We start from the raw sequence: 22,872 nt of genomic DNA on the forward strand, positions 1-22,872 counted from the left end.
ATCCAGTTGATTCAGACTAGTGGGTAAGATTTCATTTTTATTATATAAAATAGCTAATGAAAGTCAGTACCCAAGTTCTAGTTCTGGGTTCTACTGCTTCTATAGTAAACTAATCATATCACCTAAATGAAGACCCTTAATACTTGGGTGGCAGTTTCTTTAAATATAATGATAATTTGGGCTAAATGCTTTCTATCATTCTCTTTAGCTTTTTTTGTTGGTTTTTTTGTCCAGAGCCAGGTAACAATCTTCTACTTTTAAAACATAAAAATTCCCAATGGAATACTTCTAATTTATAGAATCACATGGTAGCATTAAGCTTTAAATTACTGCAGTTCTTTTCAGTTATTTATTAAACTTTTTTACTACTGTACTTTGAAGAGACCCCTTCCACAGTTTCTATTAGTGAGATTATCGTATGACATCTAATACAGAAAAAATTATATTTTATGAAAACTTAAGGCTGGACACACCTGTAACCCCAGCCTTTTGGGAGGCCAAGACATGAGGATGGCTTGAGACCAGGAGTTTGAGACCAGCCTGGGCCACATAGTGAGACCTTATCTCTAAAAAATTTTAAATCAGCCAGATATGGTGGTGCTTACCTGCAGTCCCAGATACTCAGGAGGCTGAGGTTGGGGGATCACTTAAGCCTGGGATGTGGAAGCTGCAGTGAGCCATGATTGCATCACTGTACTCCGGCCTGGGTGACAGAGTGAGGCCTGTCTCAAAAGAGAAAAAAAGAAACAAAACTTAAGTTGATTTTTGTCCCTGTTTCTCTGTTTTTTAATAAGGCAATAACATTTTCTCGCCCAACATATGGAACACATGTTATTAGTTAGACTTTATCCACAGATACTAAGGACAAAAATATATGAAATTGAGCAAATCCAGGAGATCTAGAACGCATGGTTATTACATTTCTAAGGCAGTTACCTGGGTAGGTGATCTACAGTCTTGTCTGAATGCTTTAAATTTAAACATGTAAATAAAACCTAAGGTGTACTTGTTAGAACCACTGGCTGGCTGGGCCTTCTATTTGACTTGACATGTGGACAGCAAGTTTTAAAGATTAGTATGCATTCAAATCTTGACAAAAATAATTATTTTTAGTACTGACGATGAAATGTCTAGGCTCTTAAATGAAATCTACAGTATTTTAACTATTATAGGTCACTTTTACTGATTTTTCACTTGTTAACGTTTTAATTGGTTTTCAATATTCACCTCATAAGAGATTTGAACTATCAGCTACCTTAAGACTTCATTATATCTTAATTCCATCTCAGAATTTTTTCTGAGATATATTTGAGTATCTGGAATTTGACCTGGGTTTCTAATACAAATTTTTGGTTTTGTTTTTATTTTTATTCCACTAACTGCTATTAATCAAAATGGACAATTAGGGGCTAGAAGCCTTTGGAAAAGATTTGGAAAGAAAGCAGAGAAATGTTTCTACTTATCAATATATCTTTTTCTGATTAACTTGTAATTATTTATTCACACTCACTTCAAGCTTCCTTCCTTCCTGAAGACTTCCCCCAAACCCCTGGTGGGTCAGAATGTTCCTGCCTCAATCCCTATCAGATGTTGGGCATGTCTTTTAACCACGGGAATTAGTACAGCACTCTTTATTTGTCTGCCTAATAAAGTTGGGAACAACTTTAGCAGACGATGCCTGAGTCCGTAGTGGAAATTTAATAATTTATTATGATGTGCCAAAATAACCTATATGGTAACAGCTGCATTTTAGAACTTCAATGGACACAGTCTTGCATAAAATGGACACTCAACCAATGTTGGTTTTTACTCATTCACATCCCCAGCATACTAATTAAAAGTGAAAAGGAAAAAAAACTCCCCTTACAGTAATAGGTTATGCATAAAGTAAGGAATGGGTAAACCAGTACAGAACCAGAGAAGAAGCTTTCAGATAAATACTTGCATGTCAATAATGGAAAGTAATTCTTATTATTTAATTCAAGTAATTATTGTGTGCTTTATATGGGATCTGCATCATACAAAGTAACAAATCTGATTAATATTAACTCTCAAGCTAAAAATCTTTTTGCAATTTCCCACTGACTTCTTGATATTATTAAAAATGTATCTATTTGGGCCAAGGCCTCCTATGTTTTTGTCCCTTCTACTTTTTCATGCACACAAACTGTCATGCCGCAGTGCATGCTCCTCATTCCAACAATGCAGAAATTCCCAGGAGCCATGCCATGTTACAATCATTTTTTAAGCTTTCAATGCCTCCCTGATCTTTACATTTGTAGTACTTAGCACATTTCTTGACACATAGTCAATCATCCATAAATATTGATTGAATAAATAAATAAGTGTTGTAAAACAATGGATGATGTTGAAGAAGTAAAGGAAACAGAGTTTGCTCCACTTTCACTGAAGGAACTGAATTATCACAAAGGGAGCAGCTGGACAGCTCAATAAGACACACGGTGATCAATGCCAAGGTGAGTGGTACAGAGAGAGATGAGGGAAATGATTTAGATTCTCTAAGATTACAGTGACCTGAGATGGTCAGGAAGGTTCCCTGAAGGAGAGAGTCTTGAAAGGAGACTTAAAGAATAAGTCATTTGCAAGTTAGGATTTTGAAGGCACTGTGGGCAGAAATTAAATAAGTAAACAAACAAAACAAAAAATAGAGCACCAGCACCTGACCATGCTGTCAAAGTTTTGCCATGATCTGAGAAGGAGAAAACAGAGAGCCTGGGAGGGTTCTTTGTTTGCCTTTATCAAGAATACCTGGGGTAGAAGGAGACCCTCCTATTCTAGGGCTATTTTAGAAGCAGAAGGATGACTGGTGCCTGAGGGAAAAGATACATTTGGTATTTGCAGAGGGGCCAAACATGAAATACTCTATGTCAAATAGAAAAACTAGCTTTAAAATACAAACAAAACCAAATAATTCACTATGATAGTGCTTCTTAAATTTTAGACAGATTCACCTGGAGAGTGTTAAAAGACAGACTGCCCCCTGCAACCAAGTTTCTGATTCAGTGGTTCTGCAGTGGGGCCTGAGAATGTGCATTTCTAACAAGTTCCCAGGCAGTGGCAGTGCTGATGCCTCTGGTTTAGAGACCCCACTTTGGCAACCACTGTACTAGGAGCACCTGAATACACATTTCGAAGAATCTAATGGTGAGACACAGGAACCGTGGGCTGCAATGAGCAGCAGTCGTGTCAAGAACCAACAGATGGGCAGAAGGTCAGGGTGACACCTGTTCCTATAGGTTTTAAGACAAATTTCAGACAATTTAATTATGAGCACATGTTAGTTTTATTACAAACCTGCTGTGGTAGAGGTTGGAGGGACAAAAGAAGGAGAGGCTCTCCAAGGCCAAAGATTTCTCCTTTAATAAGAGATACGATAGGAAATAAAAGTGGTTAGATGGTCATGGCTAGAATAAATACAAAAAGGAAATAAAGTCTATTTAGAGATCTTTAGCTTCTTGACTGACAGTCAGCTGGGTGGGTGAGCAACTTCTTAGAACTTGTCTTGATCTGATTAAAATCCAGCAGAAAAATGCCTGTTCATTTTATGAGGAACTACAATTTCTTCCCCAGTGGAGATTATGAATCACAACATACAAAAAGGTTCTGCCAGGTTTGGAACTCTTTTAAAAACAGAAGCCATCTGGGGCTCGTTGGTACTGAAGTCATGGAAACTAGCAAATAAATGAATAAGTGAAAAGGCATGCTTGTAAGCAAGGGGAAACCAGAATTTGTAATTTATTGCTGGTTTCAATTTTATCTTGACTACTTTCTTTATTCCAGGTTATTTAAATATTGAGTTAAATAAGGAGTTTGGCTATGTTTTCCTGAATTTGGGAACTGGTACTTCTCTGTGTGCAGCCACACAGATGCTGGTGTTAAGTTATTTAGCATTTTGATCTTCTAGAAAGAGAGATAACAGGGTGAAACATCCAAGTTTGAGAATGACATTACATTTTCTATGAAGTTACCAGGAGTAGATTACACAGGGAGCTGTGTGTGAGTTGCAGATCAGTTTGCCGTGGGCAAGTGAAGTATATAGAAATGAATTCAGGAAATAAATGGTTATCAGTGAGTTATTATCTTAGACACATAGACACTTAGAAAATAGGGGTTGTTTCAGACCATTGTTTTAAAACATTGTGGGGCTGCCACCAGGAAATCAGCAAAGTGCAGGTAGTGTTATTTTTTCTCTGCTAAAATACAAAATAGATACTAGGTCTGGGATTCTTTATCTCCTATCCTCATCAGCACGCTTCAAGAAAGACAAAAAAAAGGATGTCAGGGAAAATTCAACAAATTACACCACCAAATATTTATTAATTACCTAGTATTTACAAAGCTACTTATTCATCATCGGAAAACCAAAGCCACTCCAATGACTTTGCACAGGTTACAGGTGTTTTCACTGAGAGTAGCTTGTATGAACTATTGAGCAGCCATGGAAGGTAGTTATTATAATAAACTGTTCACTGCAAATTAAGGAAGTGGGAAGTAGATGCTTCTCTAGTCTGCTGTCAAAACTAGATTTTAACAGTTTGCATTATTTCTTACAAGAGACATTATTTTTAAAGAAATAGAAGTTACAAGTAGAGATTTAAAAGTTATAAAACTAGGGAAAGGGTCAAAAATGATTTCTGAAAAGGACCAAATAATACATGGTTTAGGATTTTTGAGCCATATAGTATCTGTCACAACTATTCAATTCTGCCATTGCAGTGCAAAAATAAATGAGCTTGGCCATGTTCCAATAAAACTTTATTTACAAAACTAGGCTGTGGGCAGATTTGGCTTGCAAACTGTAGTTTACTGACCCCCTGCTGTAGAGAATGACTAACATGAACATTGTGTTACTTCACTTATCACACAGGGAACATTTAATCTCACTAGCCTCAAGAAGAGATTATCACCCCAAAAATAAATTTATAGTTGTTAAAGCCTTATTGAGGCAAATAAGAAACATGTGAAATACATTTTCAAACTGTGTTCTTCTCCTTTCAAAGGATCTGTCTCACTGTGTTTGAATCTGGACACTCAGTGATGCCAAGGCAAAAGTGTTTTATTCTCCTAAGAATATCCTCATGTGGCCTTTTGTCTTCAAATAACAAGTTTCCCAGTTGCACATTAAATTATACAGCTGAGGTATAGACTTTCTTCTAAGACCTCATCTTAGCTATTGGCATAAATTCTGGCCTTTTTTATTTCTATTTGCCCTTTCAAAGCAACTCCTTCATTTATCTCCTAAACAGATGTTGCCATCAGGTACCTTATGCCTGGCTCCAAAGATTGGCATATGGTTCCATCTAACCCATTTTCACCTTGCACATGAATCTGCAGCCGCTGAAGCTGGAGAAAGGAGCTCTCTGCCAGGAAGCCGAGGCCCTGGGGATTCAGCACTGCATCCTTTATAATGTGGTGAAGCTCCAGGGGGGAAGAGGAAAGGCAGCCAAGACAAGTCTGCCAATTCCTGGGTTTCACAGGGCTCATTCTGCGAGTCCTTTTGTTTCCTTTCCTGCTTCTAACTTGAATTGACTGATGAAAGAAAGGAAGTGCCATTGAATAGAGGTTCTCACATTTGCCTTCTAACTTTGTTCCATAGGAAACGGGCCACCCACAGTGCTGGCAAAAGGAAGGGCAGCCAGAAGGACCTCCGACCCCCTGATCTTTGGATCCATCATGAAGAAATGGAGATGAAAAATATTGAAAAGCCATCTGGCACTGACCCTGCAGGAAGGGACTCTCCCATCCAAAGTTGCCAAGACCTCACACCAGTCAGCCACAGCCAGTCAGAAACCCAACTGGGAAGCAAAAGCACCTCTCATTCAGGTAATTATCTTTTCACTGGCATTAGGGAAAACATACCATTCTGAACCCAAGGGAGTTTTTCACTCCTTTTATGGAAATGTCTTCCCTACTAATTTGCATGTCATTATGGGTCATTTATCAATAGTTAAATGGATCTAATATAAATTTGGTTGATTAACCAATTATATGTCTTTCTTCATCCTGTGACTTGATATAATTTTAATAATTCTTTTATAATTTTGATAATTCTTGAATTTTCTATGAGGTTGGAAGTAGGACAGTTGGGAAATACAGAAACTTAAATCCTAAATGGATTGACTGCTTTTTGTTAATTGTTAAACAAATGTTTTGTCAAGGCAATAAAATTTGAAGCCATCTGTACATTTTCCAGTTCCTTATTTCGATAGATAATTGAAAGTTAATTCTAAATTTACTGTCAATTCCCTGTTTTAAAAATCACATCAGGGCACTTGAAGTACAAAAAAACTGAATATTCTGTTACTTTGGCCTTGATTACTATGGAAATCAACTGTCATCCACATACAGTCACCTTATGTGATCCCCAGACTAGTTTGATGGGATTCTGTCTGAAAACTATGTTGTTATACAAAGGGATCTGAAAAAAAAAAAAAAAAAAAGCCTACTGTTCAATGAATTGGTGCAGAACAATCACTGGTGTCCAGGGATAAGTAAGAACACTAGAAAATAATTGTAAGATAGTTCACTTTCTCTGGGTCTTCATATTATCTAAGTGCTTATGGGAATCATCAACCAAATACTATCATCAAAAAATCCCTTGGTCTACTCATAATGTGATTATAGAATGAGGAGCTCCTGTTTTTTTTTTTTTTTTTTTTTTTTTTTTTAAGTTTTAGGGTACATGTGCACAATGTGCAGGTTAGATATATACGTATACATGTGCCATGCTGGTGCGCTGCACCCACTAACTCATCATCTAGCATGAGGTATATCTCCCAGTGCTATCCCTCCCCCCTCCCCCCACCCCACAACAGTCCCCAGAGTGTGATGTTCCCCTTCCTGTGTCCATGTGTTCTCATTGTTCAATTCCCACCTATAAGTGAGAATATGTGGTGTTTGGTTTTTTGTTCTTGTCATAGTTTACTGAGAATGATGATTTCCAGTTTCATCCATGTCCCTACAAAGGACATGAACTCATCATTTTTATGGCTGCATAGTATTCCATGGTGTATATGTGCCACATTTTCTTAATCCAGTCTATCATTGTTGGACATTTGGGTTGGTTCCAAGTCTTTGCTATTGTGAATAATGCCTCAATAAACATACGTGTGCATGTGTCTTTATAGCAGCACGATTTATAGTCCTTTGGGTATATCCCCAGTAATGGGATGCCTGGGTCAAATGGTATTTCTAGTTCTAGATCCCTGAGGAATCGCCACACTGACTTCCACAATGGTTGAACTAGTTTACAGTCCCACCAACAGTGTAAAAGTGTTCCTATTTCTCCACATCCTCTCCAGGACCTGTTGTTTCCTGACTTTTTAATGATTGCCATTCTAACTGGTGTGAGATGATATCTCATTGTGGTTTTGATTTGCATTTCTCTGATGGCCAGTGATGGTGAACATTTTTTCATGTGTTTTTTGGCTGCATAAATGTCTTCTTTTGAGAAGTGTCTGTTCATGTCCTTCGCCCACTTTTTGATGGGGTTGTTTGTTATTTTCTTGTAAATTTGTTTGCGTTCATTGTAGATTCTGGATATTAGCCCTTTGTCAGATGAGTAGGTTGCAAAAATTTTCTCCCATTTTGTAGGTTGCCTGTTCACTCTGATGGTAGTTTCTTTTGCTGTGCAGAAGCTCTTTAGTTTAATTAGATCCCATTTGTCAATTTTGTCTTTTGTTGCCATTGCTTTTGGTGTTTTAGACCTGAAGTCCTTGCCCATGCCTATGTCCTGAATGGTAATGCCTAGGTTTTCTTCTAGGGTTTTTATGGTTTTAGGTCTAACGTTTAAGTCCTTAATCCACCTTGAATTGATTTTTGTATAAGGTGTAAGGAAGGGATCCAGTTTCAGCTTTCTACATATGGCTAGCCAGTTTTCCCAGCACCATTTATTAAATAGGGAATCCTTTCCCCATTGCTTGTTTTTCTCAGGTTTGTCAAAGATCACATAGTTGTAGATATGTGGCTTTATTTCCTGTTTTTAAAGTGAATTATTTGAATGTGTTGCTGTTTTACTGTACTCTGTCATCTCAGAATTGCATAAACAAGAAATACAAGTATTGACTGTCAACCATGGATTGTTGAATATTTCTTTTCAAGCTCTCAAATGATGTCTTAGGCAGATTTCCTAACTTCCTTGTCACTCCAGTTATTGAAGGACAGTCTAGTTCCATTAAAAACTATCATCTGAAATTTAATTAAAGATTCTCCTTTCTCATGCTCAGCTAGATATTTGGCTCTAGGGACTGGGGGTCAGAATTTGTTTTCTCAATCCTCCAGTACATTGGAGTGAAATGGAACGGTGGGATTGAGAAGAAGCTGGAACAAAGTCTGTTTCAGAAACACTGTTACATCTTTTCCCCTTCTCTCCACTTTTCCTGAGCATGTGAGAGAAGAGGGATGGAGTGAAGAGGGAGGGGAGGTGAGGATAAAGAGAAGAAAGTACCATTTGAAGTTCTTCATAGCTTTTGTGGACACGTGGGCTAACCTCTATGTGGTATCCAAATTCTGGGTCTCTTATGAAACAGAAGTATGACTTATTTATGGCAGGGGTACTCAACCCCTGGACCATGGATCAGTACTGGTTCATGGCCTGTTAGGAACTGGGCCACACAGCAGGAGGTGAGCAACGGGCAAAAGAGCAAAGCTTCATATGTATTTACAGCCATTCCCTATCACTCCCATTACTGCCTGAGCTCTGCCTCCTGTCAGACCAGCAGCAGCACTGGATTCTTATAGGAGCATGAACCCTATTGTGAAGTGCACATGTGAGGGATCTAGGCTGCACGCTCCTTATAAGAATCTAATGTCTGATGATCTGTCACTGTCTCCCATAACCCCCAGATGGGACCATCTAGTTGCAGGAAAACAAGCTCAGGGCTCCCACTGCTTCTACATTATGGTGAGTTGTATAATTATTCCATTATATATTACAATGTAATAATAATAGAAATAAAGTGCACAATAAAGGTAATATACTTGAATCATCCTGAAACCGTACCCTGCCCCCTGCCCCCAGGTCCATGAAAAAATTTTCTTCCATGAAACTGGTCCGTGGTGCCAAAAAGGTTGGGAATGGCTGCTTTGTGGGGCCTTGTAGACCAGGCCCAGTTCCATGATGGGAGACATGAAGTCCAGGCTTACCACCTAACACAGCTCTTCCTCTTCCGTCATGAGGCCTCTGGGAAATTCCAGCAAGGGGACTGAAGCCCAGCCAACTTTTCACATGCCCACTTGGCCCACAAGAATCTCCTATATCCTTGCCAGACCCAATGGTGAGAGAGCTTGCACTCTACCACTGGCCCTCTCTCAACCTTGCTCTCTTCAATTACTTTTTCCTCTGCTTAGATAGACTCGGGGTAGAACAGCAAGCCCACTGCCTAAACAGGCTTTCGCCTGGGGAGTGACAGAAAACAAATCCCTTTTGCAGGAACCTCCATATTTTACAAGTGATTCTTCTTCTAGCTTTGTTCTTGACTGGATATCAGGGAGGGGAGAGCACCTCCACCTCCCACTGAAAGGGATAGAATTGCCTCACTGCCCTAAGGAGGTTTTGCCAATGACTTCTAAGACACATCCTTCTAACCTTTTCCTTTCGTCTTTTATATACTGAGATGACATTAAGTTGATATCTCTTAATAAGTCCTGGGGGAAGGTTTAATCCCAAATGATGACTGTTTTCTTTAAAATAAAAGAGTACTTATGCCTACTTGTCCTCAATTTGAGGACCTCGTTGCCAATTTTGTAACAAAAGGAAAGTAATCCTCAAAGTCCTGCAAGCTATACTTTATGTTAAATTAAGTATTCTTCTCTCCTGCTTAAAAAAACAAAATTCAACATAAGTGAACAGCATTACCAAGAAACATTATATTTAACAATGGGGTTCCTGAGTAGGCAATAACTATGTAAGGAGAGATTACTGTATGTTAAATTCTATGATTTGGACTTTTATACATTATTTTGCCTAATCTTCACAAAATACTTTGAGGTAGATGCTATCATTCTTTTCATATAGTAAATGAAGTAACCAAATTAAGAAGGGTTAAATAATGTGCCCAGATTTCAGAGCTAGTATCACAGCCAGGACCAAAAAAATCTGACCCCAAATTAATGTTTTGTTGATCCAGTTTCAATTAACTCATGTAATACTTTTATATAAGTACTTTTCTTGTTTTGCGCCCATGAAATTAGCTTTTTGGATAAAACCAGAAATTAGTTTACAGTATTCATACTTTAGCTATGGAAAAGAGAATTGAATCAAGCAATTGCTGCATAAACAACAACAACTAATTTTATTGAGAGTTAATTTTTTATTTTACTCATTCTTCCCTACTGCTGGTATGCAAACTGCTTAAACAAAACCTACTTCATTCTCTAACCACAAAAATAGAGGATGCCACTAAAATATCTAGGAATTAAGATGATAAGTTATTGCTTCATGATACATCTCTTCTACATCTAGTGGATTTCAAAATTATTTTCTTTACTTAAAAGTTTACAATAAAGAAACGAAAGAGTTCAGGTCTATTTGATCTCTAGGACTTACAAATAGAATTTAGTTTCTTGAAATGGATTTATCCTAGTCTAATTTCACTACAGAAGCACCACAGGATTATGTTACTTAGCTTCACTTCGGAAGAATGAACAAGTAAATTTCAGCATGTGGCATTTGGTAGTATTCAATTTCTAAAAATGTTCAATTCAGTGAATAACATCTATAAAAGAGCTACATAACACCAAATGGGCAATGTGATTTAACACTTAACTTTTTATTAGTTATTTTGAATTATATACATGTCTATTAAATCCTGTATTTAAATTTCCCAACCTCATTTGGACCAATGGTAAATAATGTCAGGTGGCAAGTTTATGAGACAAGCCACAAAGTGTTACTACCAAAAAATTTTATGCTTCAAAAAAAGTAAAAGGAAAAAATCTTGTTTAACTTTTCAATGAATTCATGTAATATCAAGCACAGTCTATTTTTAGAATAAAAAAAAAAACTGAAAACCCACACACAGACACCCAACAATATCAAAGGACTTATTTGAAAACTATGTTACCACCGGGAGCTGTGGCTCACACCTGTAATCCCAGCACTTTGGGAGGCCGAGGTGTGCGGATCACCTGAGGTTGGCAGCTTGAGATGAGCCTGACCAACATGGAGAAACCCCTCTCTAGTAAAAGTACAAAATTAGCCAGACGTGGTGGTACATGCCTGTAATCCCAGCTACTTGGGAGGCTGAAGCAGGAGAATTGCTTGAACCTTGGAGGCAGAGGTTGCGGTGAGCTGAGATCACGCCACTGCACTCCAGCCTGGGCGACAAGAGCAAAACTCAATCTCAAAAAAAAAAAAAAAAAAAAAAGAGAAGAAAAAAAGAAAAAGAAAACTGGTTGGATCTAGAGTTACTTTTTTGGAGTGGCAAGAAGAAGCACATTAGATAGTGTTTTAATGTTTGCTTCTACTGTCAAACATAATTTTGAAAACTAAAGAGGAGGAAAGTCTGTTGTATTTAATTGATATTTTCACTCTTTCTGTTGTTCATTTTTCCTGTTTGATTGTCTGAGATTCCTCTTACTACTTCCTGTTTAGAGAAATTCCATTAGCTTTTTTTTTTTTGATGGTTTATCTGCTTGAGACAAATTCTCTTCATTTTCCTTCATTGGACAATGACTTGATTTCACCTTCATTCTTGAAGTATATTTTTGCTGGATATTGTTAACCCAATTCTGTTTGGTAGTTCTCTTTTAGCACTTGAAAAATGTGTTGGATACTTCTGGCCTTCATGATTCCTGATGAGAAATCTGCTGTCATTTGAATTGTTTTACCCATATAAGTTGTTTACCTCTCACTACTTCTAAGATTTTTTTGTTGTTCTTGTCTGTAGTTTTAAGAAGCTGAACTGTGATGTGTCTGGTATGGATTTCTTTGGTTTTATCCTGTTCGGGGATTACTGAATTTCTTGAAACTATAAGGTTTATTTATGTCTTTTGCCAAATTTTGGAAATATCAGCCAATAATTCTTTAAATATTTTTCAGTTTCACACCCTTTTTCCTCTTTATTGACTCTTTGGACACTATAATTTTTCCCCAAAATTGATGCTTTTCTATTCTTTTTATTTATTTATTTATTTATTTATTTACTTGAGATGGAGTCTCACTCTGTTGCCCAGGCTGGAGTGTAGTGGCACAACCTCAGCTCACTGCAATCTCCGCCTCCCAGGTTCAAATGATTCTCTTGCCTCAGCCTCCCAAGTAGCTGGGACTACAGGCATATGCCACCACTCCCGGCTAATTTTTTGTATTTTTAGTAGAGACAGGGTTTCACCATGTTAGCCAGGATGGTCTCGATCTCCTGACCTCATGATCCGCCCACCTCAGCCTCCCAAAGTGCTGGGATTACAGGCATGAGCCACCACGCCCAGCCAAAGCGATGCTTTTCTAATGTTGCCACTTTATTTCTTTTAGTTTATTTTGTTTTTAGAGATGGGGTCTCACTGTTGAACAGACTGGTCTCAAAACATCCTCCTGCCTCGGCCTCCATAACAGGTGCAATCACAGGCATGAGCTACACACTCAGTGGTTGCCATTTTAAAACCCACACACTTTTAAATGCTCTGGTCTCCTAGGAAACTTTTTTAGTATTTTTACCATTAGGGTGCACTTCTTTGGTAGATGGTTTTAGGTCAGTCTTGTGATCCTTATTTCCCTCTTCTCTCTTCTATACAGACTTTCCAGATAGCTGGCTTTTCACAAAGACTTTGTGGCTGTAGCTTGAGAAATAGCTTTGCTAGAAAGTATTATTTCTCTTTGTACTTACAGGAAATTTGAAATGTATCCTCTTTTCTGTTTTGTGATTCTGCTGAAGGAGTAATATTTGCATAGTTCATTTTTACTTTTATTTTTTGAGACTGAGTCTCTCTCTGTCACCCAAGCTGGAGTGCAGTGGCGCAATCTCAGCTCATTGCAACCTCCGCCTCCTGGGTTCAAGCGATTCTTCTGCCTCAGCCTCCCAAGTAGCTGGAACTACAGGCAGCCACCACCACACCCAGCTAATTTTTGTATTTTTAGTGGAGATGGAGTTTCACCATTTTGGCCAGGCTGGTCTCGAACTCCTGACCTCAAGTGATCCGCCCACTTTGGCCTCCCAAAGTGCTGGGATTACAGGCGTGAGCCACCATGCCTGGCCAGGTTTGCGTAGTTTACTGTTTTATATGATTCTGTGTAGTTTTTGTAGGATGTGTGGACAGAGTTAGATTTAGGAAGCTTCCATGACTTCACCTATGTGGACTTCTCCCAGTATAATTTTTTATTTTAAATTGTAGTAATTATGCTGTTAATTTTTTAAAAAATGCATGCATATGATAAAAAATAAAAAGAATAAAAAAGTTTCAAAAAATAGTAAGTACCCAAAATAGTAAAACATATGTTTGCCTCTTGCCTATCCCAAATTCCTAATCCCTTTCGCAAAAGGAAAACAATGTTAAAAATTTTGTGTATAACCTTATTACATAGATATAGGTGTGTACTTATATATATATATATTCATATACACATAGAAATGTGTGTCACAATATGGTTTTATATGCATACTACACAAATGGGAACATACACTATTCAGAACTTCAGTTTTTTTAATACGTATTATAATTAACTTTTCAAATCTGCATATATCCATTTTTTCTAATTTTTAGTGACTCTTTAGTATGATATTTTATGGAATCCTAATAAATTTATGTAAATATGTCTGATCTTATTTTTGAAGAATGCAGTTTATTTCTTGTGGGTTTTTTGTAATAAAATTTAATATGGTTGGGCTTAAAGTATTAGTTGAATGAATTCTAGTAAATTAATATAGTGGAATATTACATAGCTGTTAAAAATTATACTGAGTTATGTATTAACAGAGAAAGATTTTTGTGTTACCTTTTATAGCAGGTTACAAAAAGTATGCATGATATAATGCCATTTTTGAAAAATATATTAATGTACGCTCTCCCACTTTCACATGTATAAACATATGCAAAAATTATAAGCATCAAAATATAAATAATGGTTTATTGTATGCAATGAGTTTAGAGTTTATGGTTAATTTCATTAAGATTTGTACAATGAAATAGATTCAGGTAACAAGAAGGTAGATACTATCATAGAAAGCATCTGTAAGACTGAAAAGGCATTGGAATGCCTGCTAGAAATTAGGTAAAGTGTTGCATCCTTGAAGAGGGCATGTTTCTCAGGAGTGTGTATTTTTTAGGTCAAGACACTGAGGAAGCAGGGAGCTCTATGTCCACTCTGGAGAGGTCGCTGGCTGCACGCCGAGCCCCCCGGGCCAAGCTCATGATTCCCATGGATGCCCAGTCCAACAATCCTGGTGAGTCAATATTGGTGCCACAATGAAGAAATGAAATGCTTTCTGTATGTATCTTTTCTATAAAAAATCAAATTATCAAAAGTAATTATAATTTTCCCTGAACTTTCTGGACAAATGGAAATGAGGAATGACTAAAACCGTATCATTAATAATTTGAAGTCTAAGTCTTCATTCGTTACTGTATTTTTTTGTATACAATCAGATGGTCTGTTGGCAAACAGATGGATATATATTTAAGAAATTGTTTGTAAAATATATGAATTCACATAAAAGAGCTGATATATATTTTAATATTATTGATCTTATTCTAATAATCATCTCCATAGTTTATTTTTATTTATTTATTTATTTATTTTATTTATTTATTTATTTTATTTATTTATTTATTTTGAGACAGAATCTTGCTGTGTTGCCCAGGTTGGAGTGCAGTGGCACAATCTTGGCTCACTGCAACTTCCACCTCCCAGGTTCAAGCGATTCTCATGCCTCAGTCTTCCAAGAAGCTGGGACTACAGGCATGCACCACCATGCCCAGCTAATTTTTCTATTATTAGTAGAGACAGGGTTTTACCATGTTGGCCAGGCTGGTCTCTAGCTCCTGACCTCATGTGATCCGTCTTCTTCAGCCTCCCAAAGTGCTGGGAATATAGGCATAAGCTACTGCACCCATCCTCCATAGCTTTTTAAATAAACTTTTTAATGAGTCTAATTCTCACACTTAAATAATCTAGCTCCTTTAAAGCAGATGTTGACAGACACCCACTTACTACACACCCCTTGTTGAAGTTTTCTGTCATCCTCCCACATTCACTGAAGATATTATTATCTGAGAATCACTTCCTTTCCCATTACTTCTATGCTCAGTCTTGGTAATTACAGTATTCATGCAGATAATCCATCTGATACCCTAGATGGTTAGTTCCTCTATGTTGCCTGCAAAGATATTGATTCCTTCCCACCTCAATTCATAAATTCCATGTCACACCAAATCAAACCAGTACAAAATCTCAGTTCCTATTACCTTATTAGTTCCCTGCTCACTTTATTGCCCCCTTGCCATCAATTCTTCAATCCCACCAGGACCTCCAATCCATTAACTCTGCCATTTCTTCCCATCCCTCATCCCCTTCGTGTCCTCATTTATCTGCAAGCTTAACTTAGGTTTTATAGTCACTTATTATCTTCAGTCTCATCTCCCTTGGTCTTCCTTCCCCATCTTACTCGCCTGAAAAAAACCTGGTAAAATAAGCAGCTCCCCAATTCTTACCCCATTCCCTCATAGCTAAATGTATCTGGAGAAAAACATATAGCCTGCTTACTGAATATTTATGACCAAAAGTCCAAGGTGAGCTCTCACTATTTGGAAATGACACTGTATTTCTCTAGTGGTTCATAGTTACACTTTATAAGATGAATGTCTTATATGTATTCTTACTTTTCAGATTTCAGTATCTCCCATCTTTCCCTATTCTTAGCTAATAATCTTATATCAGGAAGAAAAGAAAAGCATTCAGAAAGTGGTATCCTTGTCCTTCCATCAAATCTAATTGATCTGTTAGTGCTGCTCTCTGAGTGTCTTGTTGAAATCCCCTCTCACCCATTTAGGGACTCTTCTGTAATTACTCCTTCCCTTTCCTGCATCATCAGTTTTTTTTCCTTATTTATCACTGCAGTAAGCATACAAATATTAATATTCTGTCATAACTCCTGTTTTATAACACTCAATGCCACTTCCCCCTCCAATTGAAACCATATTTACTGAAAAAAATTTCTAAATTATCTGCACTTTCTCCTCTATCTAAGCTTTCTTATTAGTTTTAATAAGATTTTTACAGTCACTCTCCACTGAATCCATGATTGCCAAGGTTGTCAATAATCTCCACATTGTCAAATCCAATGGTCAAGTCTCATACTCTCAGAAACAGTTGACATAGGTTCTCACTTATTTCCCTGAAACACTTTCTCTTTGGCTTGCAATGTACTAGATGCCCCTGGTTTTCTTCCTACCCTTCTGGCTGCTCCTCCTCAGTATCCTTCATTTATTTCTCTTCTTCCTCCTGATCTCTAAGAGTCAGAGAATGCCCCAGGGCTCAGTCTTCAGGTATCCTCTCTTTTCTCCCTACACCTGCTTCTTAGATAATGTCATCTAGTATCAATGGCCTTAAATAAATATTATTAAAATGCTGATGAATCCTGGAGGACATTATCCTGAGGCAGGATCTCTAGGGCAAGGGCAAAATGCCACCAGTCTTTGCTAAAACATAGCAAGAGTCTCCTTTGCTTCATTTCCCAATAATTTCCTCATCACCATCTGAGGACACCTCAGCCTGGACTTCATTGTCCATATCACTACAAGCATTTTGGTCAAAACTGTTCATCAAGTCTCTAGGCAATTCCAAACTTTCCCACATCTTCCTGTCTTCTTCTGAGCCCTCCAAATTGTTCCAGCTTCTGACCATTACCCAGTTCCAAAGTCACATCCACATTTTCAGATTATCTTTATAGCAGTGCCACACTCTTTGTGGTACCAATTTACTGTATTAGTCCGTTTTCACACTGCTATAAAGATACTACCTCAGACTGGGTAATTCAAAAAACAAAGGAGGTTTAAATGACTGACAGTTCTGCATGGCTGAGGAGGCCTCATGAAACTCAGAATCATGGCGGAAGGTGAAGGAAAAGCAAGTACCTTCTTCACAAGCCAGCAGGAAAGAGAGAGAGAGAGAAAAAACGAAGGGGGAAGAGCCCCATATAAAACCACCAGATCTCATGAGAACTCACTCACCATCACGAGGATCATGGGGGGAACTGCCCCAATGAGCCAATCACCTCCCACTTTGTCCTTCTCTTGACATGTGGGGATTACAATTCGAGATGAGATTTGGGTGGGGACACAGAGCCAAATTATATAAATCAACTTACTCTGTTCAGAAACTCTAGTTTCATGCCTCTTCATTCTGATTTCCTTATACCCTAAATTCAGTCTTTTACCAAATTATTGTTTTCAAAACATTTCCCAAATTTGACCACTCTTTTCCACCTTCACTGTTTTGCCCTTATCCAAGCTACCATCATCTCTTACAGATTACTAGACTACAGCAATAAGCTTGTAACTAGTCTCTTCTTTAGCTTTTTGAAAAACAAAAAAACTATTCGTATTTTTTGTGGGTACATAGTAGGTATATATATTTATGGGGTACATGAGATGTTTTGATACAAGCATGCAATATGTAATAATCACATCGTGGAGAATATGGTATCCATCCACGCAAGTGTTTATCCTTCTTGTTAAAAACAATCCAATTATACTCTTAGTTATTTTTAAATGTACAATTAAGTTATTATTGACTACAGTCACCCTGTTGTGCTATCAAATAGTAGGTCTTATTCATTCTATTTTTTGTACCCATTAATCTTCATTAGCCTTTGCCTTTACAGTCAATTCTCTACACAGCTGTCTCTCAATATATAAATTAGATAATGTTGTTCCTCTGTGACTTCCATCACATGTAGAAACAAAATCCACCAATTTTACTATGTTCTACAAGGTCCCATGTGATTTAGTCTCTGGGTTTATCCCTCACTTTATCTCCTATTGCTCCTTTCTGTAATTCATTACAATCATGTAACCTTCCCCTGTGTTCCTTGGATAATAGGCATATCTCAGTTCAGGGACTCTGCACTTGCTGTAGTCTTTGGAATCTCTTTTTGTAGATATTTACATGTCTTATCCCCCATTTCTTTCAGGTCTCTATTCAACTACCACCTTTATAAGCAGGTCTTCCCTGACCATTGCCTAACACAGCATCTCTGGTCACTCTCTACTTCTCTATTATGCTTCATTTTTCTTTTTTAATGCATTACACTATTCTATTTGTGGTTTTGTGTTTGTTATTTATTTGCTTCCTGTATTTTAATATAATCTTTATAGGGGCAAGGATTATGCCTATTTTGGTCATTTTGAGTCGCCAATACCCAGAACAGCACCTGGCACATGGTAGGCATGCACTCAATACCATTTAGTCAAATGAAAGAATTAATAGTTGTTTATTTTTACTTACCATATGCCACATCCTCCCTATGCTCCATTACATCTTCTCTCAATTTTACTATAATAAGTGCAAAAACTTACATAGCATTTATAATGAATGCCAGCTGTTCAAGTCATGTAGTAAGCACTATTGTTATGCGTCTCATTGTTAGGTTCTCTCATTTACTAGAGAGAGAAGAAAGGATTGGAGAGTTTAAGTAACTAGCTAGCAGTCACACAGCTAGTACGTGCTATAGCCAGAATTTGGACTCAAAAGGTCTGATTTCAGAGTTCAGTGTTCTTAATCATTATGCTCCTAGCTGTCATACCCTGTGAAGCTATTGTCCTTTATCTTTTATACCTTTCACTACTGAGAAAGATACTGTGCACTTAGTTGCCTTTTTTCCCCTCTAGTTGCACTCCTCTTGTATTAATAACTAAGTTCTATCTGTGCCAATCATTTATTGCTTTCTTCTCAAACATTATTGTACTTTAGAATCTGTGGAGCCTTCCTGTCCCATCTAATTAGAAATATCTTCCTCATCTAATAAATTCCCATATGCCATTGCTTTTTCTTTCACAGTATCTTTGAATCCCTGGCTATCCTCCCATTCTCAACTCTTTTATGTCTTCTTTGTGACTTCACATCTAAACTGCCAAGACAGCTTCCTAGCTAAGTCTTCCCGGCTCTAGCATCTTCCAGACTCTTAGGCATCCTGCTTGCCAGATTTCTTCCTAAAACAAGTTAAACATGGCATCCCACCCCATACATTTCTCCAGTGGCTCCCATTTGTCTGCCAAGAAAAACAAAACAAACCAAACAAATTTTTAAAAACGTTTTTAGCATATCATATTGGAATCTAGATTTCTGTTACTCTATCCTTATATGTACCCAGACTCATGCTAAGGTAGACTCATTGCTGATCCACAAATATGCACTGTCCTTCATTTGTTTTTTCCCTTTACATATTTCTTTCCTTTTGAAATGACTCAGTGGATAGCTCAACCTAAGAAGTTTTATGTATCCTCCAAAGACCAGAGTAGATATTGATGCTCTTACAAATGCTTTTCTGATTACTCCATCTAGAAATAATGACTCCCTTTTATATGTTTGAATAACATGTTCTTGTAGCACGATATAGCATTTATTACACACAATACTGCCTTATATGCTTAGGCTTTCAAGTACAAATCTTCCCTCCTCCAACAGCTTGTGAATTACTTCATGATAAGGATGTAATGTATCTAATTCATCTTCATATTCACACATTTTATTGTTTAATACCTAGCACAAAATTGGTGCTTGCTAAATATCTGTCGAATGAAAAAACAAATAAATGTATTATTAAAATGCCTTCCTTATGTTTGTAACACATCAATGTTTGGAGAGCTCTTTTTTTGTCAGTTATAAATAGAATGTCATCTAACAAAATTGTCTGATGTATTAAGAGCAGTTAAACTTGTTTTCATTAAACAGAAAAGGAAATAAGAGGCTTAGAAAGAGAAAGAAAATCTAACAAGTATGAAAATGTTTAATATTATTCACTTGGTAAATACCTTGCTAATTATTATTTTCATTTAATCCTCACAATATTATCATGTGGTAAGATTATCCTGATTTTACACATGGGAAACAGCGACTCAGACAGCTTAAGCAACTTCCTCTAGGCTACCTGGGCAACTTCAGAACCTCTACGGTATACTGCTTTTCCAAAGATAAATATGGCTTTTATCTCCTAAATTATTCATATCCTTTTATTTTTCAAAAAGATTTTCTGAAGGTGCTATCTCCATTGTCTAAACATGGAAGCTGAGGCTCTGAGAGTCTGAACTTGAAACCCCTGCTTGATCCATCTACTCTACTATATTGCTTCATACTGTTATCTTGAGCTCTGAGTTTTTGTAGGCCTAAAATAACAAATCTTCTCTTAGTGACTTATTCTACATGAATGGAACCCATAAAATTACCAGAAATTAATTTTTGTTATTTTTGTAATTATCAGATAACAACACATACATGGTTTTAAACCATCACATAGTTTTCCAAAATTTATAAGAATATTCTGATTCAGCAATTCCATTCCTAGATATATTCTACTCTTGGATATGTACCCAATGGAAATATATAAAATATTAGTCAACAGGTGCATATAAGAATGTGGGTTATTTGTAATATCACATCTTCATTACAATAGATGAATATAGTATATTCATATAGTGGAGTACAATGCAGCAATAAAAATAAACTAAAATTATACAAAACAATATGGATAATCTCATGGGTGTAAATTTGCAATAAAGAAACCTGATGCATCTATATAATTCAATTTATGTAAAATTAGAAAATCAGTAAAATAATCCATGGGGTTTAATATGGTTTGGCTGTGTCCCCACCCAAATCTCATCTTGAATTCCCATGTCTTGTGGGAGGGTCCCAATGGGAGGTAATTGAATCAGGGGCAGGTCTTTCCTGTGCTATTCTTGTGATAGTTAATAAGTCTCACAAGATTTGATGGTTTTAAAAATGGGAGTCTCCCTGCACAAGCTCTCTTCTCTTCTCTGCTGCCATGTGAGACGTGCCTTTCACCTTCTGCCATGATTGTAAGGTCTCCCCAGCCACATGGAACTGTAAGTCCAATAAACGTCTTTTGTAAATTGCTCAATCACAGGTATGTCTTTATCAGCAGCGTGAAAATGGACTAATATAGTAATTTGTTCTGGGAGTGGGGCATTGCTGTTAAGATACTCAAAAATGTGGAAGTGACTTTGGAGCTCAGTAAGAGGCAGAGGTTGGAATAGTTTGGTGGAGGACTCAGAAGAAAACAGGAAAATGTGGGAAAGTTTGGAACTTCCTAGAGACTTGTTGAATGGCTTTGGCCAAAATGCTGATAATGATACAGACAATGAAATACAGTCTGAGGTGGTCTCAGATGGAGATGAGGAACTTCTTGGGAACTGGAGCAAAGGTGACTTTGGTTATGTTTTAGCAAAGAGACTGGGGGCATTTTGCCCCTGCCCTAGAGATTTGTGGAACTGAACTTGAGAGAGATGATTTAGAGTATCTGACAGAAGAAATTTCTAAGCAATAAAGCATTCAAGATGTGACTTGGATGCTGTTAAAGGCATTCAGTTTTACAAGGGAAGCAGAGAATAAAAATTCAGAAAATTTGCCCCCTGACAATACAATAGAAAAGAAAATCCCATTTTCTGAGAAGAAATTGAAGCTGGCTGCAGAAATTTGCATAATCAATGAGGAGCTGACTGTTAATCCACAATATAATAGGGGAAATGTTTCCAGGGCATGTCAGAAGTCTTCACAGCAGCCCCTCACATCATGGCCCTGGAGGCCTTGGAGGAAAAAGTGGTTCCATGGACCAGGCCCAGGGTCTGTGAGCTGCGTGCAGCCTATGGACTTGGTGCCCTGTGTCCCAGCTGCTCCAGCTGTGGCTGAAAGGAGCCAAAATAGAGCTCAGGTCTTGGCTTCAGAGGGTGTAACCCTCAAGTCTTGGCAGCTTCCTTGTGGTGTTGAGCCTTCCAGTGCACAGAAGTCAAGAACTGGGGTTTGGGAACCTCTGCCTGGATTTCAGAGGATATATGGAAATGCCTGGATGTCCAGGCAGAAGTTTGCTGCAGGGGTGGGGCTCTCATGTAGAACCTCTGCTAGGGCAGTGCAGAAGGGAGATATGGGGTCAGAGCCCCCACACAGAGTCCCTACTGGGTCACCATCTAGTGGAGCTGTGAGAAGAAGGCCACCATCCTCCAGACTCTGTAATGGTAGATCCACTGACAGCTTGCACTGTGCACCTGGAAGAGCTGCAGACACTCAATGCCAGCTCATGAAAGCAGCTAGAAGGGAGGATGTACCCTGCAGAGCCACAGGGACGGAGATGCCCAAGACCATGGGAACCCACCTCTTGCATCAGTGTGACCTGAATGTGAGACATGGAATCAGAGGAGATCATTTTGGAGCTTTAAGATTTGACTGCCCTACTGAATTTCAGACTTGCATGGCGCCTGTAGCCCCTTTGTTTTGGTTAATTTATCCCATTTGGAACGGCTGTATTTACCAAATGCCTGTAACCCCATTTTATATAGGAAGTAACTAACTTGCTTTTGATTTTACAGGCTGATAGGTGGAAAGGACTTGCCTTGTCTCAGATGAGATGTCGGGCTGTGGACTTTTGAGTTAATGCTGAAATGAGTTAAGACTTTGGGGGACCATTGGAAAGGCATGATTAGTTTTTAAATGTGAGAACATTAGAATTGAGAGGGGCCAGGGGCAGAATTATATGGTTTGGCTGTGTCCCCACCCAAATCTCATCTTGAATTCCCATGTGTTGTGGCAGGGACCTGGTGAGAGGTAATTGAATTTCGGAGCCAGGTTTTTCCCATGCTGTTCTCATGATAGTGAATAAGTCTGACAAGATCTGATGATTTTAAAAATGA

The 22,872-nt window shown here is 37.8% G+C and overlaps 1 protein-coding gene across 5 annotated transcripts in view; it reads left to right on the top strand.

The window, feature by feature from the left end:
• Positions 1–22,872, top strand: part of DCC (DCC netrin 1 receptor) — a 1,195,703-nt gene that overhangs the window by 1,113,418 nt on the left and 59,413 nt on the right. For all 5 annotated transcript variants that reach the window (NM_005215.4, XM_017025568.2, XM_017025569.2 and 2 more), the window contains 2 exons: positions 5,618–5,844; positions 14,280–14,396. In NM_005215.4, coding sequence (NP_005206.2) covers positions 5,618–5,844; positions 14,280–14,396 — 344 coding nt within the window. The remainder of the gene's footprint in view (positions 1–5,617; positions 5,845–14,279; positions 14,397–22,872) is intronic.

Source organism: Homo sapiens, chromosome 18, assembly GCF_000001405.40.
Source record: "Homo sapiens chromosome 18, GRCh38.p14 Primary Assembly".
Classification (NCBI taxonomy): Eukaryota; Metazoa; Chordata; class Mammalia; order Primates; family Hominidae; genus Homo; species Homo sapiens.